This window comes from Homo sapiens, chromosome 12, assembly GCF_000001405.40.
Source record: "Homo sapiens chromosome 12, GRCh38.p14 Primary Assembly".
Lineage (NCBI taxonomy): Eukaryota > Metazoa > Chordata > Mammalia > Primates > Hominidae > Homo > Homo sapiens.
This window is the reverse complement of record NC_000012.12, coordinates 92,574,194-92,594,990: the sequence shown is the minus strand read 5'-3', so window position 1 is coordinate 92,594,990 and position 20,797 is coordinate 92,574,194. Positions and strand designations below refer to the sequence as shown.

The following is a 20,797-nucleotide window of genomic DNA, read 5'->3' as shown; positions in this document are numbered from 1 at the left end:
AGGCGGAGGTTGCAGTGAGCCGAGATTGTGCCACTGCACTCCAGCCTGAGCAAAAAGAGTGAAACTCCATCTCAAAAAAACAAAAACAAAACAAAACAGGAACAACAACAAACAAACAAAAAAACAAAAGAAAAAAAAATTATCCACACACGCAAAAAGAGTTTGGGTTCTGGAGCTGGACTACCTGGGTCTCAATCCCTGTCCTGCCTGTTACTGGCTGTGTGGTCCTCATTGAATCAGTTAACCCCACTGTACCTCAGTTTCCTCATCTGTAAAGTAGGTTAGTATGAGTAAACAGCTCAGAGTTTTGTTCTGAAGATTAAATGAATACATTCTAGTGCAGCTGCTAGAATAGACTGGTATACAGTAAGCATTTAATAAATGTTACCTATTATTATCCTTTATAGATTAAAGGCATCCTGTAAACTCTAGTTGAACATCTAACTTCTAATTGCTTAAGTGGATTCCAGCAGCTGTCTTATATGCTCAGGAAGCTTTAAAACATCACAATTCACTGGTAGCCTCTTCTGGGCAGGTATTATTGCTATTGAAGGTCAGAATTAGTGGGAGGTCTATTTTCTGCAACTTTATTCATGCAGCATGCATTCTTGGATGTTACTAACGTGGCACACCCTGGGCCAGGTGAACTAGGGGTTGGGGGAAGAGTAGGGTGAGGATGCAAAGATGAACATGGTATCAGTTCTTCAAGGGCTTGGGGGTGTGAGGTGGAGTAGGGTAGGGATGCAAAGAAGCGTAAAATAGCTTTTGCCTTCAAAGAGTTCACTGTCCTGAGAGAGGGATGATCAGTAAACAAATAGTGACAAAGCAGGGAGACATGTACAAAGTGCTAAGGGAGCACAGAAGAGGAAGTGACTGAGACAGACTGAGGAGACCAAGAAAGGCTTCGCACAGGAAATGACATATAAACTGGGTCACACAGGATGAGTAACTGTCTGGTAGAAGAGAGGGGGTGAGTTTCTAGGCAGGGGCACTACATGCGCAAAGGCACAGAGGCATGACACATGAAAGCCACAATATTTGGCAGGGTGAGCAGTTCAGAAGGATGTTTACAAAATGCCCTGGTTCAAGGACGTGTCATTGCCCAAGCTCCTTACTGTAGCTGGTGGAGCCTGGCAGGGGGCGGTCCCTGCCCACCGTCCCGAGCCCATCTCTTACTTCCCAACCCTGGCCACACTTGTTCCTTTTTGTGCCTGGATCACCACAGCAGAGTTCTACTTCAGGGCTGCTGCACATTCTGCTTCTTATTTGTAGAATATTCTTCCCAACCTATTTTCATGGCCAATCCCTTCTCTATCCTCAGGTCTTACCTCCTCAGGAAGATCATCCATGGCCACTTTCCCTGATGCAAGTCCCCTGTTATTCCCCATCACAGCATCTATCACTAGGAATGTATTGTGACCTGTAATTATTTTACCTCTCACCATGTTTTTTACCTGCTTCTCTGGAAGGTAGCATGAGACATCAGGGTCAGGACACCAACTGTCTTGTTCCTGGTGTATCTCTAGTATCCTAGTCAGTTCCTGACACAGCACTCAATCGAAGTTGTTGAATGAAGAAATAAAAGTATCAGTGAATGAATGAATGAATGAGAAATTTGGAAAGAGATTGGTTTGAATATCTTCCGTTGGTTTCTCCAGGTCCACTACCCTTCTCTATTCAATTCTGTGTCATGGAAAGCTGCTTGTGTGGGCCACCTCAATATCTTCCCTCTGTGTTGGATTCAGTAAATAGGGCGCAGGTAAGGGTGAGAGGAGAGGGGTCAGGGTGGCCTTGAGCTGGCTGCATTCCTTCCCTGAAGGTCTCAGCAAGGGCCCTCTCCACACAGCCTCTCTCTTTCCTCCTTTCCACCACTTTAGGCCTGCGGTCGGGGGGCAGGCACCTCCTCCCATCTTTCCACATTACTATCCCTCGTAGTTTCTCTAGAGTCCACCTACATCTTTGTAGTCCTTCTATTAATCTCTCTTCAAACTACCTATGCCAGTCTGTTTCTTACCAGGGCTGGGGCCAGGTTAGAAAGTACCTTATGTGCCTGTAAGTAGCTCACACCATATTCATTTGACAACAGAGAACTGTTAAAGGTAGATCCTTCTGCAGGTGCTATGGACTGAATATTCACATGTTGAAATCCTAACCCCCAATGTGATGATATTGGGAGGTAGGGCCTCTGAGAGGTATTTAGGTCATAAGAGTGGAGCCCCTATGAATGGAATTGGTGTTCTTATAAAAGGGACCCCAGAAAGCTAGCTAGCTCTTTTTCCACCTGCTGAGGACACAGCAAGAAGACAGCCATCTACGGACCAGGAAACAGGCCCTCGCAAGACACCAAATGTACTGGTATCTTGATCTTGACCTTTCCAGTCTCTGGAACTCTGAGAATTAGGTGTTTGTTGTTTAAGCTGCCCAGCCGCTGGTACTCTGTGATAGTGGTGTAAGCTGACCAAGACAGCAGAGGTGTGGCATAACCCAAAGGCAAGGCTAACACACAGCATCAGCGTAGGGAATGCCCTCCAAGCTTTCAGTAACATGCCCCATCATGTTGGAGCATGTCCCACTCATATATTCATATCTCTTTATGTGTAAGTTTTTTGTTTCTTTTTTTTGAGGCAGAGTCTCACTCTGTCACCCAGGCTGGAGTGCAGTGGCAGGATCTCAGCTCACTGCAACCTCCGCCTCCCTGGTTCAAGTGTTCTCCTGCTTTAGCCTTCTGAGTAGCTGGAATTACAGGTGCACACCACCACACCTGGCTAATTTTTGTATTTTTGGTAGACACGGGGTTTCGCCATGTTGGCCAGGCTGGTCTTAAACTCCTGACCTCAAGTGATCCGCCCTCCTCGACCTCCCAAAGTGCTGGGATTACAGGCATGAGCCACCGTGCCAGGCTCTGTTTATGTGTAATTTATATACGTGCATGCTTGTACTAATAACTTTTGTACAGTATAAAGTACATATGTGGATATTAAAAAGCATAAGAGAGAGGTAAAATTTGATTTTCAATTTTTATCTCACCAAAAGCCATTGATATGGTTTGACTCTTTGTCCCCACCAAATCTCATGTTGAACTGTGATCTTCAGTGTTGGAGGAGGGGCCTAGTGAGAGGTGATTGGATCATGGGAGCGGATTTTCCACTTGCCGTTCTCCTGATAGTAAGTGAGTTCTCCCAAGATCTGGTTGTTTAAAAGTGTGTAACACTTCCCTCTTCACTCTCCCTCCTGCTCTGCCATGGTAGGAAATGCTTGCTTCCCCTTAGACTTCTGCCATGATTGTAAGTTTTCTGAGGCCTCCCAGCCATTCTTCCTGTACAGCCTGTGGAGCTGTGAGTCAATTAAACCTCTTGTCTTCATAAATTACCCAGTATCAGCTAGTTCTTTATAGCAGTGTGAGAATGGACTAATACAGCCACACTGTTAGTGTACTGATTACTTAGTTTTAAAGTCTTACTAAACATTATAGCTAATATTTTATTGTCTACCTAGGGTGACATTGTTAAGGAGTGTATGTATAAATCCATATTCCAATTCATCTTCTTGAGGTGAGCTAATCTCTTGTCAGATCTAATTATAATTATTATGTATATAATTATATTATACCATATATTGTAATATGGTGACAAAGTACTTCTAAGTGGAGAACAATCAACTTTTTCTACCACGTGGCTTGCTTTGTTGTGGTATCTTTGACCCATTATTTATTTTTGGGGTCTTTTTAAGTTTCTCACTTATTTTATGATTTTTTCAGCAAGTTAGAATTAGACAATAGTTCCACGTATTCACTCAACTGGGCATGTATCATAAATTATTAAACAAATGAAAATGTTAGGGAATCACTGTCCACTCCTGTGATTTATAGACTCCCATTTTCCCTCAAGACTTCCCACATATCCTATGTGAGGGGTGATCACTAACATAGAGACTGAGAGTGCCATGACATATTAAATATCAGAAAAGCTTAATCTCTTATTTTATTTGATAAAAGTGGGTATATACAGAAGTTCTAATGTTCTCTTCCATCTCCCCCATTGATTGTTTTGTACACCTGCTTGATTGCACGTACTGTATTTTGGAGACTACTGATATAGATCATAGGCAGAATCTAGAAATAGAGGACCAGTTAAGAGACAATGTTCCAGTAGTTCCTATATTGGTAGGAGTCCTTTTAGTTATGAGATGTGTGTTAGTTTACACTCCAAACCCTTTTATCCCCATGGCTTCTTTCCTTGCTTATTTTCTTATTCTTTTCCATATCTCTAGCAAAGAAAACAAAGAAATAATACTAACCACTTATTAAACACTTGATTTGACCCATGTTATTAAACACAGATCAAGAACCAGTAGTTTTATGTTAAGCTTAAGAAAGGACTAGGGGCTTTCGATACATTATGTAAATAAAATTTCAGAACATATTGATAACATCAGCATGATTTTTACCTTTTTACAATTAGGAAACTTCCTTGGAAAGATCAAGCACCTGGTAAATGACAGAGAAGTCTTGAATTTAATTCAGGCCTGTCTGTGCCCAAAGAACTTGTCCCCAATCGTCTATAAAATGCTGACAAAGAAAAGAAAAATTTGGGAAGCTCTTGTGATTTTTCTCAATAAAATAGGAGAGAATCAGTGGACTTGCAAGGCTATATTCAGTTAAAATGAGGTGAAATGTGCTGATTACCCTGCTCAAAGGCAGAGTACCTTTGAAGTTATTCTTTTTCTTTTTCTCCCCATTCAAACCAAAAATCTGACATTCTCTCCATATAGCAAATTCACTCTTATTCCATCCTGGTTTCCCTGTGCTTTCTTCCTCTCCAGCTGGAGGTGCATTGCTTTTCACCAGTGAATGCTCTAAGTGAGCAAGTGTTTGGATGGGGAAAAAATAAAGAATGCATGTTTCCTTTACTTGGTTATTTTGGTTTATTGTTCCTGGACCCAAGTCGCAAGATGCTGAAGTGAATGTCAAATAATGTTAAGAGTTCTTGGGGAGAAAATGGCAGGAGATCATTCAAAAACACACCTAAAGGAGAAGCTCATCATTGCAAGATGGGAAAAATGGTTTTTCCCTTTCATGTATAAACCGTGATGAGCAGGTCTGTTTTGCTAGCTGGGCTGATGATGATAATCATAGTTCCTATGGAGCTATGGGCACCATCACATTCATAAAATCTCCTGAAGGCCTTGAGTCTGACCAGTCTCTGTCTTCTTTCACAGAGACACAGCACTCCAAAGGGTTATGACTCTTGAACACAGGGGTGGCAAGAGGAGTGGGAGTATTCTAACACAGGTAACAGGAAGATAGCCTAGAGAGTCAGTGGGGTGGAGAATGAGGTGGGAACTGTGATGAAAATTAAAAGAGAGCAATCACGGGGGTGGGAAATCGACTAGGGGGTCAACCAGACTTTAAACATAGGCTTTCCTACATGCTGTTAAGTGCTCCTCCAGAGAAGGCTGGGGGAGAAACAAGTGCCTTCATCTTTGGATAAATACACTTTCAAAGATTATAGCATACAGTAGGAGGGAAAACAAACAGAAAATTTTGTGCCTACAAAACAATTCACAGTAATCCACTGGGATGCACTGGAAATTCAAAGCATTATGTTAAGAGCATGAAAAGGTAGTGCTTTTAATACATTTTCTATTATTTCTGACTGAATAGGTCAAGCAGTTCACATTGTTGAATACTGGGCATCTATAAGGGTTTGGGCAATTTTAGAAGGTGTTAAGATTCTTTAATAAGCCCATAGAGTAGAATGTTTCTATTGGGACATATGCTTGAGGATCTGCACTCACAAAGACACACATATGCTTGGAGCTGGAGACAAAGAGCCACTGCTGTCTTCCCTGCAATGAGCTTCTCAGGTTCCCCACCCCCCAACCCCCACAGCAATCAGTGGTGCAATCACTCTGGACCCTGCATTTGGGGGTGTATGGGAAAAGGGCTGATGTAGGAAAGCCATGAGTTGTTAAACATTGTTGGAAAAACTCACTAACCCTTGAGACCTGTCCACTTTTTTGTACACTTGGCCCTCACCACAGCTCAATGTTCCTTCTATTTAAGTCCTGTTGATTCCCTCTTTTATTTCCTTTTCAGTCACTGTGAATACTTTAACTTGACTTTTCAACTCAACAATGCACTCTTTCCCATTTTCCTGACTCTCTTATGATAATAAAAAAAGAGTATTATTATTATTTTTTGAGATGGAGTCTCGCTCTGTCGCCCAGGCTGGAGTGCAGTGGCATTATCTCCGCTCACTGCAACCTTGCCTCCTGGGTTCAAGCGATTCTCCTGCCTCAGCCTCCTGAGTAGCTGGAATTACAGGCGCATGCCACCACGTCCAGCTAATTTTTATATTTTTAGTAGAGATGGGATTTCACCATGTTGGTCAGGCTGGTCTCAAACTCCTGACCTCATGATCTGCCACCTCAGCCTCCCAAAGTGTTGGGATTACAGGCGTGAACCACCGCGCCTGGCCTTTTTTTTTTTTTTTTTTTTTTTAGACAGAGTCTCACTCTGTCACCAGGCTGGAGTGCAGTGGTGTGATCCTGGCTCACTGACACCTCTGCCTCCCAGATTCAAGGGATTCCCCAGCCTCAGCCTCCCGAGTAGCTGAGACTACAGGCATGTGCCACCATGCCCAGTTACTTTTTGTATTTTTAGTAGAGATGGGGTTTCACCATGTTGGCCTGGATCGTCTCGATCTCTTGACCTTGTGATGCACCCATCTTGGCCTCCTAAAGTGCTGGGATTACAGGCGTGAGCCACCGCACCCGGCCTGGTTTATTTTTATATATACACAACACACACAAAATAACATGAACTTGAAACATGGCTTTGTTTATGATAATCACGAAAATCTCAGCATACAGAAGCACCCATCTGGTCTACAAGCTCATTTAATGCTTTCTTCGATTCTACAACAATCTAATGTAAGTTTGAATACCTCCAGTAACAGAAAGTTTGCTGTTACCCACAGCAGCCAACTTCATCCCTGGATAATTCTGGTGGACATAAAATTCTTTCCAATACTATATTGAAATTTGCCTCACTGTAGCTTTTACTTGCTAATTCTCATTTTCCATTTTGGGCTTATAAGACACGTGATCCTTCCGCCACCTGACAGCCTGTCCAATTTTAACAACTTGCATGACAAACTTGAGCCTTCTCTTCTTCAAAGTAAACATACTTCTGTCCTTTAACCATTCCACATGTGGTGCTTTAAGAACGGAAGGAACTGAAAAAGAGTCAATGAATGATGAAGTAGAATAGATTAAGTATAAAATATGTGCTTTTTGAAAACATTAGCAGTAAAAGTTGGTGGAGGAGTTGAGATGGTACCTTGAGAAATACAGCCAAAATTTCAAGATGAAACATATTTCGAGTGAAGGGGAGAACTGAGCATTGTCCACACAGAGACAATGATTTCAGTGGGAATGGAGATGGGATTAAACAATGGATATGACCTAGTCCCCAGGCAGAGGGAAGACAAGCCAAACAGAAGGGTGAGAAAACAGAGGGATGTGAGGGGAAGTAAATAAGCTAAGTGGAAACAAATCTTCTCAGGAAAATAGGTAAGCAGTATAATTTTCATGTGTCATGAAATATTATTCTTCAAATTTTTTTTTTTTGAGACAGTGTCTTGCTCTGTTGCGCAGGCTAGAGTGCAGTGGTGCGGTTTCAGATCACTGCAACCTCCACCCCCCAGGTTCAAGCGATTCTCCTGCCTCAGCCTCCCAAGTATCTGGGACTACAGGCATGCACCACCATGCCCGGCTAATCTTTGTATTTTTAGTAGAGACAGGGTTTTACCACATTGGCCAGGCTGTTCTCATACTCCTGACCTCAAGTGATCCACCCTCCTTGGCCTCCCAAAGTGCTGGGATTATAGGTGTGAGCCACCATGCCTGGCCAGGAGTTTTTTCAATCATTTAAAAATACAAAAATCATTTTTAGCTTGGGAGGAGCTCGAAAACATGCAGCGGGCAGGATTCAGTTCATGAGCTATCATTTGTTGATCCTTGATATAAATTGTTAGGAAGGATTATTAATTGTCCACATCTTATGTGAAGTGAGCTTCATTAGAATAACCACCTGCCTCTTTCCTCAGATCCTCACTGAATATGTACCAGGAGAGGTAGAGTGACCTGATGTGATTGGGGAGGTTAGAGGGGAAAGTGGGCCTGCCCCTTTTTGTTCTTTTCCTTGGGGAACAGCTGCCTGTAGGCAGCATGCACTTTTGTCTCTTCCTGAGGATGCCTTTCCAGACTAGCACTGAAGGATGGTTTGTCTAATTCTGAGTTAGTATGTGAAAGTCCATTTGTCCTTCTTATTTAGGCATAAGTCACTTTCTCTAATATCAACTTCATCAATAATAAAAGTAATATTTTGGTCTTTAATCTGTCTTATTTACCTTATTTCTCAGCTAGTTTAGAATCTCACTCTGTCACTCAGGCTGGAGTGCAGTGGCACCATCTTGGCTTATTGCAACCTCTGTGTCCTGGGCTTAAGCGGTCCTCCCACCTCAGCATCCCAAGTAGCTGGGACTGCATGCACACGCCATCACTCCTGGCTAATTTCTATATTTTTTTGTAGAGATGGGGTCTTGCTATGTTGCCCAGGCTGGTCTGAAAATCCTGGGCTCAAGCGATCCACCAGCCTTGGCCTACCAAAGTTCCAGGATTACAGAGGTGACACTGTGCCCAGCCAACAACTTACTATTTCCTACACAAGTTGTTTTTACCTGCATTTTGTTTTTTATCAAGCCGTGTTTAAGCCATCATCTTTGCCGACTGAAGTACTGTTTGACCTCCCAAGCCTGCCTGAAGAGTCTGCTTCTCTATGAGTGATGGTCTTACACTTTCAGAAACCTTAATCCAGTAGATTACCTCAACAAATGGTGACTTCTTACTCAGCACTGTAGGAAGTCCCTGAGACCCTTAAGATCACAATTAGGTATGGGAAGTTAACATGTGAGCCAAAAGTTGCTATAGAGCACTAGGTATGAAATGATGGAAGTGACTTGAAGGTTAAATTTTGTAAATAGAAGGGACAGATTCACTAATTACTTTGACTAATATTTATTGAATGCTTACTATCTGCCATACTCTGTACTAAGAACTGCATCCATAGTGACTGAGTGTAGACTTGGCTGTTTTATTACAGGAATTTACCATCTACAGAAGGAGACAGACATTAATCAATTAACCTTGCATGTAATATAAAATTAAAACACTCAAAAAGGCAGTGAGGGCAGGTACATGGTGCTATGAGAGGGGGATCTGATATGGGTGGTGGGGTAGGCATGGAAGGAATTGAAGGGATTAGAGATATGTTTTGAAAGAACAGTCAGCAACAGAGTAGATATGATTGCCCAATCCATTCCATGTCCTGATTATGACCTCCCAAGCCTGCCTGAAGAGCCTGCTTCTCTATGAGTGATAGTCTTACACTTTCAGAAACCTTAATCCAGTAGATTACCTCAACAAATGGTGAGTTCTTACTCAGCAGTGTATGAAGTCCCTGGGACCCTTAAGATCACAATTATGTGTGGGATTCAAAGGAGGAATTGGGGTTCCGGAAGTAGGTATATGGGAGGAAGAGATTTCAGATTGAGGAAATAGCACTTCAATGTAACATGGCATACAGAGTCAGGAATTGCAAGTTACTTAGTGTGGCCAAAGTGGGAGGTACAGGGAAGTGGTAAGGCATGAGGCAGGAGAGGTAAACAGGGATGATGAGATCAGAAGTGTCTTGTATGTTATTTTAGGTAGATTGGACTCATCATGAGGATGTGGGGGGCATTTAATAATTTTTAAGGAGGGAAGCCACATGGCAGTTTTGTGATTGTATGGAGATGAATATAGGAGGGATAGTGAGGAGATGTGAGACAAACTTGAAAGAAAGACCACTTAGATGATTACTACAAAATCTCAGAAGGGAGATACCGAAGGCCTGAATGGAATCATCGATGTGATCTCAATGTCTATACTCATCAAATATTCTTCAAAGGAGGGTATGATTCTGCTCCCTCTCATATTCTTGCTAGATCTGCCTCTTGGAATCTGAGTTTTCAGGTGGGTTCCATAGAAAGATGGGTATCTGGGATTGATGAAGTTTGGATTTTCCTGAAGCAGACCTCAGCAAAAACTTGGATACAAGCAGTTCCTGTGAAAGGTGATCCCAAGAAATGTTATTAGAGGAGTGAAGAAGTAAAACAGTGAAACGTGGGCTTGTATCTTCAGAGACAGCCTTCAGGAAGGGGAAAGTCAGTGCCATTTCTCTGGGCTTCAACCTGGAGCTGTGATCTGAAGTAAATGGAATCTTTGCAATAACCTGGGAAATTTCAAGCACATCGCAGGATTTTTCCAGGTATCACAAGAATCTTTCTGTTTAGTGTTGGCGACGTACCCAATGGATGCCAGCACAGTGCTCCAAACAGCGCACAACTATGAATCATGTGGTGTCTGGTGAATGGAAACTAATAGTGAGGACATTAAGAAGACGTTTCTTCTGATGAGAGAGATCTAAAGGAAGAATGTGAGGCATAGAAGGAACTCTCATTGATTACATGCCAGTTATGTGCCACGATTGTGTTAAATAATTTCATATACCTTATTTAATTTAATGAATTTAATTGTGACATCTACTTTGAGAAGAAAATGTACACTCATTTTGCATATGAGAATATTAAAGAAAACTAAAGCTTGTGGGGTAAAGGGATTCATCCAGTATCATGTAGTATATAAGTTATCTTTTGCCACAATAATGCTTCATAATAAATAACCACAAAACCTGGTGGCTTGGAACAATAAGTGTTTATTCAGCTCACAAGTCTGCAGGTTAGTGATTTAGGCTGAGCTCAGCTGGGCAGTTCTTCTGGTCTGAGCTGGGCTCCCTGACATGCCTGGAAGTCAGCTGACTGTCAGCAGATTAGGATTGTTTAGGATGAGATGATCAGGTGATCTCACCTATGTTCCAGTTGTCTCTCATCATTCAGTAGACTAGCTCTGGCATATTTTTATGGCCGTCGTTGAGGGCAAAGACACAAATGGAAACTCACAGTTTCTAATCTCTTTGCTTGTGACATGTTTGATAACATCCCTTTGGTCAAAGAAAGTAACATGGCTGGGATGGTAGTCAGAACCTGGATACAGGAAGGAGCAAGGAACTGGGGAATTAATGCAATCATTCTTCCACACTTGGTGAGAGATGTCAGCTGAGATTTAAACCCAAAGGCCCGTCAGGCCATTTGTTGCGTAGCGTGCTGCTTTGCAAAAGGAAGCTCTGCATCATCTGAATTGGGCCTAGAAAATGTCATCATCTGTTTCAAAGAAGTGCATTTATTTAATCCTCAGCCTTTTTGTATTTTTCCAATTTACCTTCTGCTCCAAGATGGATTTGATACAATTTATTTATTTTTATTTTTTGTTTTGAAGAGCAAGCTGGTAAGAACTCCAAGGCCATTTTTACAGATAGGAAACTTACTTCGTGATCATTGCATTCTACAGACCTCCATATAAAACCTTATGAATGTACACAGTTTTGTCTTTTCATAGCCATTTTGTTATTTCCAAGAGGAAATTAATAAAATGAGATGCCTGTGGCTAATCTGCATTTTAAAGAACTTTCTTAGAGTGACAGCTCAAGCCCAAGAAGATTCCAAGTTCAGCTTAAAAAGTTAGCAGCGTTTGTCCACTAACAGAGATAGTGTAGCTGAGGAGTGCTGCAATTGTTCTCGCTGCCCCAGGAAGCCTTGATTTAGGAATGCATTCCTCTTTTCCTTTTTTTTTAAAGAAAAGTTGTGACCAACTCCTTCTGTCCCAGCAGGAGAAAAGAATAAAACTTGACCTCCTTTTGTTCCAACAATAGCCTGCAACTGCCTCATTCCATTGACTCAACATGTATCATCTGTCAGTCGTCAACCCTCCTTCCAGGACAGAGCTGCATTCTCCTTGTGTTATCACTTTGCTTCATGGTGCTCTTTCTCATCTGCCCTCAGAATTTAAAAGAAAAAAAAAAGACCATGAAAAATGTGTAAGTTGGATGCTATTCATTCACTTATTTATAAATAAATGGAAACTGACAGGCACCTCTTCAGAAAATGTTTACCCTATGGACAAGTGTTGATGACATGGGCTGAAAGTCACAGTCTGGTGCCACCAGGACCAGCTGCTCCTTTAGTAGTTACCATTGTGCAGCCTTGCTTTCGTTTTGGCTTGGCACATGCATTTCCAGCCTGCCTTACATTGAGTCTCCAGGATACTTTATCTCTAGCACTGTCTGCCAGAGACAATAGATGGATCTTTTTAACCAGCCCTGAAAGCTTGGGCTTTGTGTGCTCTTGATCTCTGGTGCTACGGCTGCTAACATAATGAGTTTCGCCTGGTGCCAAGGGATGCATCTGCTGTTGGCCCAGTAACTTTGCTTCATGGAAATGACATTCGATATTTTGTTCTTCATGCTGCTGGGCTGACATTTACTAAACTGGACAAATGTTTCTGTTTTCAGTGGAGAAGAAACACTGCTCATTGCTTAGCTAGGGGAGCAGCGGATGAAGCTGTTGAATTTATAGTAGATCTCAGAGTGGTTCAAATCATAGATCCTGAGTGATTCCTCCTCAGCTACTCCAAGTGGTACCATTTGGGGGCTGTTGGGGAATTAGCAGTTGAATTCCTTGAGAAAGTCCTCCTCCCCTGTATGAACTCCAGATAATGCAAGACTGTTACACAGTTATAACAAAGGAGTTAAGTCCTTGTCCATCTATCAACCAACCAATCCACCAACAAGCATATCTTTAGGACCTGCTTGAATGCAAGGTACTGTGTTGAGTTCCAAAAACACAAAGGGGCATTGGTTACAATCCTTGCTTTAGAGGTGGACAAATTGATTAAGGAAAATCTCTCTCTCTCTCAAGGGTGAGGTTTTGCTTAATGCATTTGGAGGTTGGAGGAGGATTTAAGAAAGGGAGAGATCACTGTGAACTGAAGTGCCTGGAGAAGACTTTCTTTGGGAAAATAAAATTTAAACCTAATGTGAAAGACTAACTGATACATTGAGGTTGTGTGAACCCAGATGGATAAAATCACACAGTCATAAACAGAGCTATTCTTAGATGTACAACAGTTGTTTCAGAAACTAAAACACCCTATGCCTTGAAAAGATCACATTTTTAGCCCACAGAATTCACCATGCCATTTGTGTTTATTTGCTGTATCCTCCAGAGACCTCAGTAAGCTGAGGGAAAAGGGGGAGGGACTAACATGCTGTAGCCACCTACATTGTACGATTTGCTTTACATACATGATCTAATTTAGTTCTTACACAGTCCTGTGAGCCATGCATTATTGCTCCTATTTATAAATGAGGAAATTGAGGCTCAGAGAGGTTAAATGTGTGGCCGGGTCTCATAGTTGTGCAATGGCTGAGCCCTCTGTGTTACTTACATACTGTCTGTCACTCACTTGATTTTTAAAGTTCTTGAGAGTAGAAAATTCAATATCAATGTTGTTTCCCAAAAACAAATATTTTAAATACTGCTTGTTAGATAAGAACATTGTCCGTAATTACAAAAAATTGATTAAAATGACACAAAGAAAAAAACAGTAAAGAGAAATCAAATGAGATAATTGATGTGTGTATCCTTTTGGGACATATCTGTGATAAGATCTGTCACATGGCACAGGAAGAACAAGATCTGTGTGCGTGTGTGGTACTGGGGGTTATAATCTTTTTAATTTCGTGTACCCTGCACATTTTAGATACTTACTAACAGGGTCAATGTCTGATACATTAGGATTTGGTTACAAAATGATGAAGAATATTGAGATTCCTCTCAGGCTCTCAAGGTGACAGATGTTCTATTGCTAAAGTATTGCTTTGGGGAAACCAAAATAGACCCACCGCACCTAAAATAATGTGCCAAAAATATAAGGAAAAAAATAGAAAATGGAGACTCACAGCAAGAGAGAACATTATATTTGAGTGATGGTTTTCAAATTTTCCTCTGTGGGTCATACTCTTGTCTGACCCATCTATTCTTCCGTGGTCCTCATCTTGTAGAGTCCAGGCGTCTTAATGCTCTTGGCCACCCAACCTCTGCTGTCCTGCATGAAAGGAGTCATGGAGGTTCCTACACACCATCTCCTGTAGGTGTGTAGTGGCCACCATTGGGCAGTGGCCTGGAAAGGCAGCAGGCTAGGGAATGTGATGCTGCCACTTGGATAGGCAGTTTTTGGCATACTGTAACTTTGCCTTGTGTCCTTTAGCTATTCTTGGAGATTTTCCAGAAGAATAAACAATCCCTTAAAGTCCCATTCCCTCCATGACTCCTGGCTGGAAACATCACCTAGACCTATATGACCTGCTTTTGCATTTTGGGTTTATACATGGACCAGTTAAAATGAACATCCCTGGGACCTGCCACCAGGGCTAGAAGGCTTTCCCCTTCCACCTGACAAGGTTAAGACAACTGATCGTATAGTCCAAACACTGCCTGCTTGGCTTATAGAGGATGGATTACAATTTTACTTATGGATTTATTCCTATAATCGTTAAATTAAGCGATTGATAAAGAATAATGGAAATTACACAATTAATAGAAATTAAATAGAAATTAAATGATTTCTCTTATTAAATTGTAAGATTCTTTAGGGAAATGTTAGTACCTTTTTTCCCTTACAACTGTACCCTCAGTGTCTATAAACACAGCGCTACCTTGTAGCAGACCTCAATAAATATTTGCTGAATGGTTTCATTTATATATGTGTGTGTGTGTGTTTGTATGTATGTGTGTGTATGCAGGGAAAGTCATTGTAGGAAGAGGGACAAATAAACAGAATGAACAAGTGAACAGAATCATAGGAGTTGGCCAGGTGCAGTGGCTCATGCCTGTAATCCCAGCACTTTGGGAGGCCGAGGCGGACGGATCACGAGGTCAGGAGATCGAGACCATCCTGGCTAACACGGTGAAACCCCGTCTCTACTAAAAATACAAAAAATTAGCCAGATGTGGTGGCACGCGCCTGTAGTCCCAGCTACTCAGGAGGCTGAGGCGGGAGAATCACTTGAACCCGGAAGGTGAATGTTGTAGTGAGCTAAGATCACGCCACTGTACTCCAGCCTGGGCAACAGAGCGAGACTCCATCTCAAAAAAAAAAAAAAAAAAAAATCATAGGTGTGATTTATTTAATCTGAAATTCATCTTAGTAATGTATAAAAGAATGCTCCCTTTTAGATAATGTGCATTTCAGCTATAATTTCACATATGCCCTGCTCTTAACCAAAAAGAAAATCTCAGTGGAGATTTCAAAGGATATAGATACAGGGCAGAGAATGTATGGCAGGCTGGGGGAGCCATCTGGGAATAGGCGAGTCCTATGGGTCCCCGTAAATCCTACTTTTCCTGAGCATGGCTGAGACAAAGGCCCATTGGTGGTTTGGGAATGAAAACATTCAAGACACATTGGGGAAGCTTCGTGTCTAAGTGACTTGGGACCCTGGACTGGCAGTCAGGTCCTCTACTCTAAGCCAATCTGAACTTAGATAATAGTTCCTTATATATTTTGGATATTAACCCTTTATCATATATATAGTTTGCAAATATTTTCTCCATATGTGTACTTTTATTGTAATGTTTCCTTTTTCCTAATGACAATAAAGCTATTGTTAAATTGAAGATAAGTTATAGAATCAAAGTGTCTTAGAATTGAGGAAACACAGGTACTATTTTTTAAATTTCTTCACAAAAATGTTTTGTATAGAATCGAGTCTTAATCTGGGATCAAAAAAAGAAATGTTTAAAGTTGTTACAGAGAAGTATTATAAATGTTTTAAGGCATATATAAAAGGAGACTGTCTTGGGGAAGCTTTCCAGAAACTGGTAGGTTATGAGACTGGGAAGCTTTGTGTGTCTCCTATTTAGTCTCTTGTACAATAATTTTTTTTTTTTGAGATGGAGTCTTGCTCTGTTGCCCTGGCTGGAGTGCAGTGGTGTGATCTCTGGCTCACTGTAAGCTCCATCTCCAGGGTTCACACCATTCTCCTGCCTCAGCCTCCTGAGTAGCTGGGACTACAGGTACCCGCCACCACGCCTGGCTGATTTTTTTTTGTATTTTTAGTAGAGACGGGGTTTCACTGTGTTAGCCAGGATGGTCTCGATCTCCTGACCTCATGATCTGCCTGCCTTGGCCTCCCAAAGTGCAGGGATTACAGGCGTGAGCCACCGCGCCTGGCCGTCTCTTGTACAATAATTTTTTAAGAAACATGAGATGCCTTTCAGGCCATAGGCATGGGCAAGGACCTCATGACTAAAACACCAAAAGCAATGGCAACAAAAGCCAAAATTGACAAATAGGATCTAATTAAACTAAAGAACTTCTGCATAGCAAAAGAAACTACCATCAGAGTGAACAGGCAACCTACAGAATGGGAGAAAATTTTTACAATCTACCCATCTGACAAAGGGCTAATATCCAGAATCTACAAAGAACTTAAACAAATTTACAAGAAAAAATCAAACAACCCCATCAAAAAGTGGGCAAAGGATATGAACAGACACTTCTCAAAAGAAGACATTTATGCAGCCAACAGACACATGGAAAAATGCTCACCATCACTGGCCATCAGAGAAATGCAAATCAAAACCACAATGATATACCAGCTCACACCAGTTAGAATGGCAATCATTAAGAAGTCAGGAAAAAATAGGTGCTGGAGAGGATGTGGAGAAATAGGAATGCTTTTACACTGTTGGTGGGACTGTAAACTAGTTTAACCATTGTGGAAGACAGTGTGGCGATTCCTCAAGGATCTAGAACTAGAAATACCATTTGACCCAGCCATCCCATTACTGGGTATATATCCAAAGGATTATAAATCATGCTGCTATAAAGATACATGCACACGTGTGTTTATTGCGGCACTATTCACAAAAGCAAAGACTTGGAACCAACCCAAATGTCCATCAATGATAGACTGGATTAAGAAAATGTGGCACATATACACCATGGAATACTATGCAGCCATAAAAAATGATGAGTTAATGTCCTTTGTAGGGACATGGATGAAGCTGGAAACCATCATTCTCAGCAAACTATCGCAAGGACAAAAAACCAAACACCGCATATTCTCACTCATAGGTGGGAATTGAACAATGAGAACACATGGACACAGGAAGGGGAACATCACACACTGGGGACTGTTGTGGGGTGGGGGGAGGGGGGAGGGATAGCATTAGGAGATATACCTAATGCTAAATGACGAGTTAATAGGTGTAGCACACCAATATGGCACATGTATACATATGTAACAAACCTGCATGTTGTGCACATGTATCCTAAAACTTAAAGTATAATAATAATAAAAAAAAGAAAGAAAAAAAAAAGAATCGAGGGAAAAACTTAAATCCAAATTTAAGTGTATTTTTCTGCTATATAATTTACTTGGTAGAAAACCATTTTACTGTTTAAAATTGTATATATTTCCCAGAAGATAGCTAGTTTAGGGATTATTTACTTTCTTACTGCAAATTCTTTTTCATCTATCTCTACTTAGCTCAAGGTAAATGTGTTACCCCCAAAATTACAAATTCATTCCTACTGGAAAAAAAAAAAAGAAAATGTGGCACATATACACTGTGGAATACTATGCAGCCATAAAAAATGATGAGTTCATGTCCTGTACAGGGACATGGATGAAGCTGGAAACCATCATTCTGAGCAAACTATCGCAAGGACAGAAAACCAAACACTGCATGTTCTCACTCATAGGTGGGAATTGAACAATGAGAACACTTGGACACAGGGTGGGGAACATCACACATTGGGGCCTGTTGTGGTGTGGGGGGAGAGGGAGGGATAGCATTAGGAGATATACCTAATGTAAATGAAGAGTTAACGGGTGCAGCACACCAACATGGCACATGTATACATAGGTAACGAACTTGCACTTTGTGCACATGTACCCTAGAACTTAAAGTATAAAAAAAAAAAAAAAGAAACATGAAATGCCTTAAGCTGTACGATGGCTGGAAACAAAAGAAAAAAGAAAAAAAAACATGATAAACTTATTTAACTAGCCCAGGAACCCATAGGCTGAAATTCTTTTTATAAAGTACCCGTCTTCAAGGAGTTCAAAGTGCTTGGCAGATAGTTTCTAAGAAACTTACAAAATCTGGTGCAATATTAGGCCAAGGGTGCAGGAGAGTAGAAATGCAGGGGTCATTTCTATTTCTCTGTTTTATGGCACACTTAAGTAACTCCTCAAAGGCCAGCAAATCAGTGACAAAGCTGGGAACAAACTCTAAATTTCCTAATGCCAAAATTATTTGTCTGCTTACTGAATGCAATTATCATTTCATATAGTATTTTTAGATTTTTCTTTCCTTCTGTTTGCTTGGACAAATTTTCAATTTTTGATTATTAATAATTTCTGATTTGTTAACTAGTGGGTGAGCAGCAAATATGATTGACAGTCTGTTTATCTCATGATCTAGGTTAAAACCTAAGCATCAGTCATATATATATATATGTATATATATATATATATATACACACACACACACCCACACACATATATACATAAATACATACACACACACACACACACACACACACACACACACATATATATATATATATATATATATAGTTTTTAAGATGGAGTCTCACTCTGTTGCCCAGGCTGGAGCGCAGTGGTGCCATCTTGGCTCACTGCAACCTCCACTTCCCGGGTTCAAGTAATTCTCTGCCTCAGCCTCCCGAGTAGCTGGGATTACAGGCACCCACCACCATGCCCGGCTAATTTTTTGTATTTTTAGTAGAGATAGGGTTTCACCATCTTGGCCAGGCTGGTCTTAAACCCCTGACCTCGTGATCCACCCACCTTTGCCTCCCAAAGTGCTGGGATTACAGGCGTGAGCCACTGTGCCCAGCCCCAGACAGTCATATTAATATCAACTTTTATTATTAAAAACCTATTTTATAAATCTAAAATTGGACATTAATCATAATGTATTCTCAGATATAATTTTTAGACCAGTATTTTCAAAGTGTCTATGATAACCAATGTTATAAATACAGAAAAAATTTAGTTAGCAATTAGCAGAATTATGTGGGTCATTTAAACTATGAGTGTTTCCTTTGAAATATTTAAAAATAACACTATGCATCATTTCCACTATTAAAGTTTACAGTTACACAGTGTCGGTCAAAAGAAGAGTCAGTCTTATCCTCATATAGAACCTGGAACATAGAAATGCTTATAGTCATTCTGGAAGGTAATGTGGCAATGTGCATATTGTTGCAAATGTAAAAACTATTTTACCTGCTCTCCCCATTCCTTTTCTCCCAAGAGCACTCCCCCATTAATTCATTTGAATAAAAAATCCCCGTCTCAGGCTCTGCTCCTGGGTAGCCTGACCTAAGACACCTCTTATTTTACAAATGAAGAATCTGGAGCTCAAAATGATTGTTTGTGCAAATCACACATCAGAGGAGGAAAAAAGTTCAGTTCTCCCTGACTCTGTACAGTTATTACCCAATAGTTCCTCCCAATGCTAACTTTGATTGAGTTTGCCCCCTCCAAATGGGTGTGGAATTCTGTCAAGATGGGCAGGTAGCTGGGTTCAAGTCCAGAGTGCAGAGTAGGAAGGAGTGACCCAACCAAGGAGCAACCCAGGGTGAATGGGAGCAGTCTTTATAAAGCAGGGCTTCTCCACTGGGGATCTTCCTCCCATGACCATAGAACAGTCTTAACCTTTAATGAGCATGGCCAGAGATGTTAAAAAGTCCTGCAACACATAGGGCAGTTCAGCTTCACAAAGAATTGTTCTGCACCAACGCCCCTGTTGAGAAACACTGCAAAGAGCCCAGGGTCAAAAAGTAAGTGAGCCAAATGCAGTCAGGAAGTCCAAAGGGCAAGGGGGTGATGGGAAGAAGACAAAGCCAAAGAACAGGGAAGCCAGGCAGCTCTGGGGCTCTGGCCGAGCAATCAGGCTGGAGGAAGGGGTTCGAGTGTGGCTGGTGTGCCTACAGCGTGCTGTTCTCAGCATCCACTCTGTGGCGCAGAGCGAGTCTGAGTCTGGGCACTTTAAAAGTTTAGGACAACACGGAGAATCAAAGTGGATGTCATGGGACCCAGAGGAAAAGAAACTCAGTGGCATTAGATTCACTGTTCTTTTTTTTAATTCTAATTCCAACAAACAGATATTGAGCACTGTCATTTTCAGCTGCTGTAGTAAGCCCTAAGAAAACCAAATATCACACAGTCTGGACTCCAGTCAATGTTCAGAAGTAGGTGTAGTAACGACTGGCCATGTTATAATTCTGGCTGCCGAGGACTTGTACCCTGTCTCATGGAGAAACTCTTTACCTTGTAAGTCTTTTTGGGCAAGAGGCCATCTCCTGGTAGAAGCTGATAGTGCTAGATAGCCGCATTTCCATTTTCCCTTGCAGGTAGGCCTGGGCACATGCCCTGGATTTTTAATTGGGAGGGAGGTAGTACAGAGCAGATGGGGAAGAGAAAAAGCTGTTTCTTAGCAGCAGCACAGCTGGCTCCTGAGGACAGTCAAGGCAGCTGAGGAGGTGGCGGTGGTGTTGGTGGTGCCAGGGCAGCATCTGTTCTGCAGGGGTGACCCCACTTGGCTCTATTTGGGGCCTTGTTTTTGGCCACACAGATCTAGCTTCCTGGAGACTCTGGGAATCACCCAACATCCTTTGAATAAATTCCTCTCTGATAAATCAGCCACAGATAGTCCCTTTTGTGGGCAGATACAAGCAAGCATCTTCTACGTTCCAA

At 41.5% G+C, this 20,797-nt stretch overlaps 1 long non-coding RNA gene across 2 annotated transcripts in view, besides 2 other annotated features; it reads right to left on the bottom strand.

Annotated features, from left to right (window-relative positions):
* LOC105369905 (uncharacterized) overlaps positions 1-20,797 on the bottom strand; it is a 72,972-nt gene that overhangs the window by 35,265 nt on the left and 16,910 nt on the right. The window contains exon 2 of one of the 2 annotated variants that reach the window (XR_001749261.3): positions 10,800-11,992. The exons of the other annotated variant lie outside the window; for it this stretch is intronic. This is a non-coding gene — a long non-coding RNA (uncharacterized LOC105369905). Of the gene's footprint in view, positions 1-10,799; positions 11,993-20,797 lie in introns of those variants that run through there. 2 annotated transcript variants of the gene reach the window in all.
* Positions 532-1,731: an enhancer, noted in NCBI's record as "CDK7 strongly-dependent group 2 enhancer chr12:92987036-92988235 (GRCh37/hg19 assembly coordinates)". NCBI's record gives its function as "activates an origin of replication core promoter dependent on BRD2, BRD4, P300/CBP, MED14 and CDK7 cofactors, with strong dependence on CDK7, by STARR-seq in HCT116 cells {active_cell/tissue: HCT116}" and the evidence as "EXISTENCE:reporter gene assay evidence [ECO:0000049][PMID:35650434]".
* Positions 1,193-1,292: an enhancer, noted in NCBI's record as "active region_6752". NCBI's record gives its function as "activates an Ori minimal core promoter by ATAC-STARR-seq in GM12878 lymphoblastoid cells {active_cell/tissue: GM12878}" and the evidence as "EXISTENCE:reporter gene assay evidence [ECO:0000049][PMID:35858748]".